The sequence below is a fragment of the Homo sapiens genome, chromosome 4 (genome assembly GCF_000001405.40).
Source record: "Homo sapiens chromosome 4, GRCh38.p14 Primary Assembly".
Lineage (NCBI taxonomy): Eukaryota > Metazoa > Chordata > Mammalia > Primates > Hominidae > Homo > Homo sapiens.
The window spans coordinates 28989002-28995123 of record NC_000004.12 but is presented as its reverse complement, the minus strand read 5'-3'; positions in this window follow the sequence as shown (position 1 = coordinate 28995123).

The following is a 6122-nucleotide window of genomic DNA, read 5'->3' as shown; positions in this document are numbered from 1 at the left end:
TTGCTCATTCAATCTTGATGTATTTTTATCATAGATGTTAAGAAATATACTTTTCTGTGGTTTATTCATCTTGGCCCTTGCATCTCCATGTTTTATTAACATTCTTCACTTCAACCTTGCTGCCCATTATGATATTGTCTCTCTTGCCTCTACTATTTGTCACCTGGTATTTCAGAATCTTATTATCCCAAATGCTATAGGGAGCCCAGCTTTATAACAGAATCTCCTGTCATTCTCAGCTTACCTTGAACAGTCAATACTGAACATCTCAGCAATACTGGAACATTTTTCACTTGCATATTTATTACTAACTTGGTAAATAAAGTGTCTCTAGGACAGTGATGCCCAACTTGTGGCAATGGTCTCCACTGCACCACAGGGTACAATTGACAATGTCTGGATACATGTTGGTTGTTACAACTAGAGAGGGCTATTGAGGTCTAGTGTGGAAGGGATACTGTCCAATATTCCACAAGGCACAAGACATCCCATCACTTCCACAGTAAAGAAATTTCAATCCCCCAATATCAATAATGCCAAGGTTGGGAAATTCTCATCTACACTGTCCAAAAAATCAGTCGAACATTTTTAATTCCCCAGAGCTATATAATAGATTCATTTAGGAAGACTCATTTCTCTAAGCTTTTTGATATTTTCCTCCAAATCTTACTATAGTAGATCTGGCAACCTATACTGCATTTAATATGAATCATTACTTTTTTCAAAGATCCAAGAGTCATCTCAACAGTATATTAAAATTTGTTTCAGGGATGCTCACTGAGATGTCACATCCTAAGGCATGAGGTATTACGTTTATCAACAAAATCTCCTTTATCTAGCTTTCCCTTTCATTCTGCCTTTTATTGGGCACCCTAAGGATTCTCTTTCAGTCTTACTCAGGAACACGTTGGCAGTATATGTTAGCTGTGTCCTGCAGCTTATTTAGTACAAAATTACTCTACCCCCTTATCAGGTTCAGCACTTTCCCAGTCAGATAATGCTGAAATTTAATGCTAGTTACTGCTTTTATGCCATGGGAAGAGATGGGAGCATATCCTTAGGAAAGCAAACTTTGTAAAGCACCTGCTTCATTTGAAACTTCCCCATAGTCTTTAGGCAAAGGGGTTGAAGAAGTCTTTCTTTTCAAACAAAGTAGAGTGAATCACTTCTGCAAACCCAGAGGATTCAGGAAAATCTTTACTTTTAAGTTTCTCAAGTGACTGTCCCCAGACGTATCTATTCTAATCTCATTTCACTTCTTCCCTCTGATGATCCTGATTTTGGCATGGAAGACTTGACCAGTCTAAGAAATTCAAACTTTTCCAAATTTCTTTCAATTTTACATTAAGGAATATTATTTTTTTAGCTTTATATGTTTTAATAGAGAGTCTGAATCTAGGTTTGGAAGTTTGAATACTGACATCTTTTACGCCTAACCCTTTTATGCCCCACATCTGAGATTGCTGGTAAGAAAGCTTGGGTGCTCCCTCAGATTGTACAGATGGGAAGTTTAAATTACATGCTGTCACTCTAAGCCTGGCCTCACCCCTAATTACCATAAAAATCCTAAGCCAGTCTTTTTGTTTGTTTGTTTTTACTCTCTCAAGATATTTTAGACTTGCTGGAGAAACTCTCGCTTCAGAAAGCCCTATTGTGTGAGTAATAAACCTTCCTATACTCTTTGGGTAAATGTGTGACATCATCAGTTTTAACAGGCAAACCAAATTTTGGATAGAGGTATATTCTGTTTCTGTAGAGCGGCTGCACCATCAGCTTCAACCTGCAGAAAATTAAAAGTTGCTTTAAAGGTTTCCAATGAGACCCTCTGACTTAAGTATTTGTGTATAATAGATAACAACACATCCATGGCTGTGGCAGTATCTACTCAATTCCATAGTCCTTGTGGTTATTGCCTTCAGACCTCTCAAATACCAGAAACATTGCACAAACTAATGTGTCTCTTCTATTTGTACTTTGTCCTGCTTTCCAAAAAGGGACAGCTTCAGCAGTCACCCTGTTAGAACTCACCAAGGATAATCCATATTCCACCTAACACTTGTCAAGGGGATCACTGCCATCCAGGCAACAAGTTATGTGACTGTAAACTTTCACCCTTAAAGTCCATTTCTTTGCATTGAATCTTGTACCAACTATCTTAAGTCCTTCCTATTCTTTAAGCAGTGCTTCAGATGATAATTTTTGTGCAAGAAGTTTTGTTTGAAGATGCGATTTAGGTGAAAGATGAAAGGAGGGAGGAAATCACAATAAGCCAAGATAGGAAGCTAGGAAAAGTGTGCATCCTCAGACTGATCACACACAAAGCTCTGGAGCATGAATGGTACCACAGAGTGTTACCTCTTTGAGACAAGGGGGATAGACTTTTACACCCTTGTATCAATCAGTCATCAGGTATGGGCTATTATCCCATGGAAAGTATAACTGGGTAAGATGATTTCCATTGCTGAGGGTAACTCTCCAGGGTTAACAGACAAAACCCCACAGTAAACATGTATGAGTGCAACATTCTGATAAAGAGGGTCTGTGCAAGATATTGAAAATATGTACATCAATTAGACAAATACAAATGAGAAGACTACTCCAGTAGGTGTTGCAAAGGTACACACTTAGCATATTCCAGGAACAGAAAGAACAGTTCAGCTGTAATCTGGTTGGTTAGAGGAGTGATTTGAGATGAAGTGCAAGAGGTAGGTAGGGGCTAGGTCAGATAAGCTTTTGAAGGCCAGGATAAAGAGTTTAAGTTTTATCTTAAATGGGAGTGGAGAGTTTTTAAAATAATTTAAGACAGACAGTGGAATAATCTGATATTACCCTTTTAAATTTTATCTTTTTAAGAGAGTTAATAAACTTTTGTTATTGATGTCTCAGTCTTATGTTAAGTATTAAAAAGGAGTTTCAAAGTGGACAGGTGGGTGTGAAAAGGGGTACCAAACTCTTTCCTAAACTCTGTTAACATATCTGTTTTAAGATAAAAATGAAGGTAAGGAAAAAATAGAAAATTGATTTAAACCTCAAATGGACTTCACACTCATGTTAGTCAGGAGAAATTAGAAGAATTATTTGATTTGAAGTGGCATACTTAAAACATCTTACTTTTTTGCACATTGTAAGTTGTAGAGCAAATCACATTTATTATATATGTGAAAGATATATTTAAAATATGTGTCACTGTTGGAAGCAGCATATGTTGTTTCATATAAACATTAAGAGAAGTTTTTGGCATTGTCTTGTGACACAAAATGATATATTTTATCAAGAACAGTGTCTTGCACACAATCAAGTGTCCATATATGTAAAATTTGTTGATGGACTTTTATTTCACAGATGACAGAGGAAAATCATTTTCTGAAGTTTTTCTATTATTTCACTTTATGACTCTCATTACCATACAATTTCTTTATTAAATTGAATATTATATTGACTAAACATATTTTTATGAAGACCATCATATAAGTGAGAAGTTTCAAATGATATGTCCAGTTGAATAAATAGCTAGTTTTAATAGAAAATAACCATTTTAAGTATTTTTTTGTTTTGTCCTAATCATTTGGAATACATCAATAATCTTTTAGAAAAAAGCACAATATTATATTAGGCAGGATAATAAACTGTTGAAGTAATTATTGATGGTGTATTAGCCACTGAATAAAAACTAAAACAGTTAAATTTGGGGGAATTTTATCTGAATTTGTGCTTTTAGGAACATTAGATAAGCAATCAATTTCATGTTTAATGATAGAATTATGGTAGAAACAAAATGAATATATGAAAATTACACCGCCCACACTCTATTTACATTTTATAAATGCAATTCTTTTTTTACAACCTATGTATAGTAGCATTCATATGTCTTACCCATACATCCAAGATCATTACAATGGCTACAACAAGTTTTTTATTTAATTGCAACCATTATATTTTTAATTACTACTATTTCTCATTATTACATTCCAGTCTATTAAAATAGATCATAAAAATAAAACAGAAATAAAGAGCTTTTTTTCACCCAGAATATTGGTCTTCTGAACTTAATGATTCTAAAGGAATATAGGCATCACAGGTTGCAAGCAGGTCGATGATCATGAATCTGAAATCTAAGCTATAGGATTTTTAACTGAACTGTGAAATAGGTGAAGTTTCACAGATAATGAAAAGAAAAAAATGTATTTTGGAACTACATTTTTTTCTGAAGTTCCTCATTATTAAGCATGCACTGATTGTCCAGCATTATGCATTTGCTTTAGGAATGAATTGAAATTTCACTACCTAGAGAAATGGCTGAGATTTTTAGTTCAACTGATATTTTATGTAACTTAGCATTATAGAAAAAGAAAACATCCTTCTACTTTGATTTTTCATAACATATATTGTAGACAACAACCTTGTCAGCCAGCTTTCCACCTCTTATGGTTTAATTATACAATTTCAATGTATTTGTGGAACATAGAAATGAATAAAATACTATTTGATTTGTGTTAGCAGAGTTTTCAAAAGGTTTAAAAGAGATACTAAGAGTTATAGGTTGCATTTTGTATCCCCCACAAAAAAGTTCTAACTTCCAGTACCTCAGAAAGTGACCTTACTTGGAAAAGGTTTGTAACAGAGATAATCAAGTTAAAATGAGTCCACTACCAAGAGCCTAATCCGATATGACTGAGATTTTCATAAAAAGAAGAAATTTGAATGCAGAAACACGCAGAGAGGGAAGATAGTGTGAAGAGACATAGGGAGGATACCATGGGAAGACAGAGAGAGACTGGAGTTATGTTGCCACAAGCCAAGGAACACTGGGGGCTACTACCAGGTGGAAGAAGAAAAGAAGGCATCTTACCTTACAGACTTCGGAGGGCTAAAGCCCTACTGACACCTAGATTTCTGAATTCTAACCTTCAAACATGTGAGACAATAAAATTGTGTTGTCTTAAGTCACCCAGTTTGTGGAATTTCGTAATGGTAACTATGGGAAGCTAATACATATAATTCTGAGAATTAAGTGAGGTTCTAGCGTAATCCAAAAAAATTAACCAAAACTATTAAATTAGCATTTGGTTTTACTTAAAACTCTGAATAAGTTAGTTGAGATATTATCTATATTTTCAAAGTAAGAAACGCCCAAGAAATTATCTTGGATGTGCCAATAAACCCTTATCCATATTCTTAAAATATAAGATAGAGAAACATTGTCTGAACATTAACATTAGCTAGTCTTTCACTTACATTTGTATATACATGCTGTTGGAAAAAGTCACAAAAATTGTTAAACGTTGAATCTGAAAAGTTTAGCCAGATCTCCTACTTCCCGAGCCTGTGACTTAATTATTTTAAACACATAGTATCAGTACATGCTGAATAAGCACTCAGATATCTGGTGATGAAAATGTCCCTGTGTGTAATCTTTAATACACACTTCACATGACAGACTTGGATAAATACATAGATCAATAGATAGATGAATAGATTAAAAGAAAACTTGCTCCTAAAGAAATTCCTTCTACTGAATTACTTTGGAAAAAAATAGAAAATCGGAGACATTTGGCACTTTTTGGAAAGGAAATGGGTAAAGCTTTTCAGAATGAGCTTGACTTGTCATAAATGTAAAAGGAAATTTATTAAAGGACTTCTGACTAAACACTTATCTTTATCAAATAAAATTATTCTCAGAATATTAATTTTTATCATTTAAACAAAGGTAATTGAAAAAATACGATACGAAATATTTCTCCATTTTAGAAGCAGAAAACACGCAGAATTGTTAACCTCTGAATATAAAAGTTTGTTTTTATAATTTTAAACCAATATATTTATTCTCAATGCATAATTCAGTTTTACTTTACAAATGTCAGTTGAATCAATAGAGATAATTCCTGTCATCTGCAGTCATATTTGGGATTTCCAAAAATTTTTAAATGACATCATGGAGGCTTTTCCTGTCAGTCATGTAAGGAGCTTGGGAGTCTCCAGTTTGTTCTAAAAAGAGGTACAGAGTGAAACAAACTGAACAATAAAAAACTCCTCTTAGACCCATTAAAAGAAGTGAGATCACGGGGTAAACCGATGCCTCTCACATCGGAAAGACAGGCAGATATAAAAAAATTACTACTTCC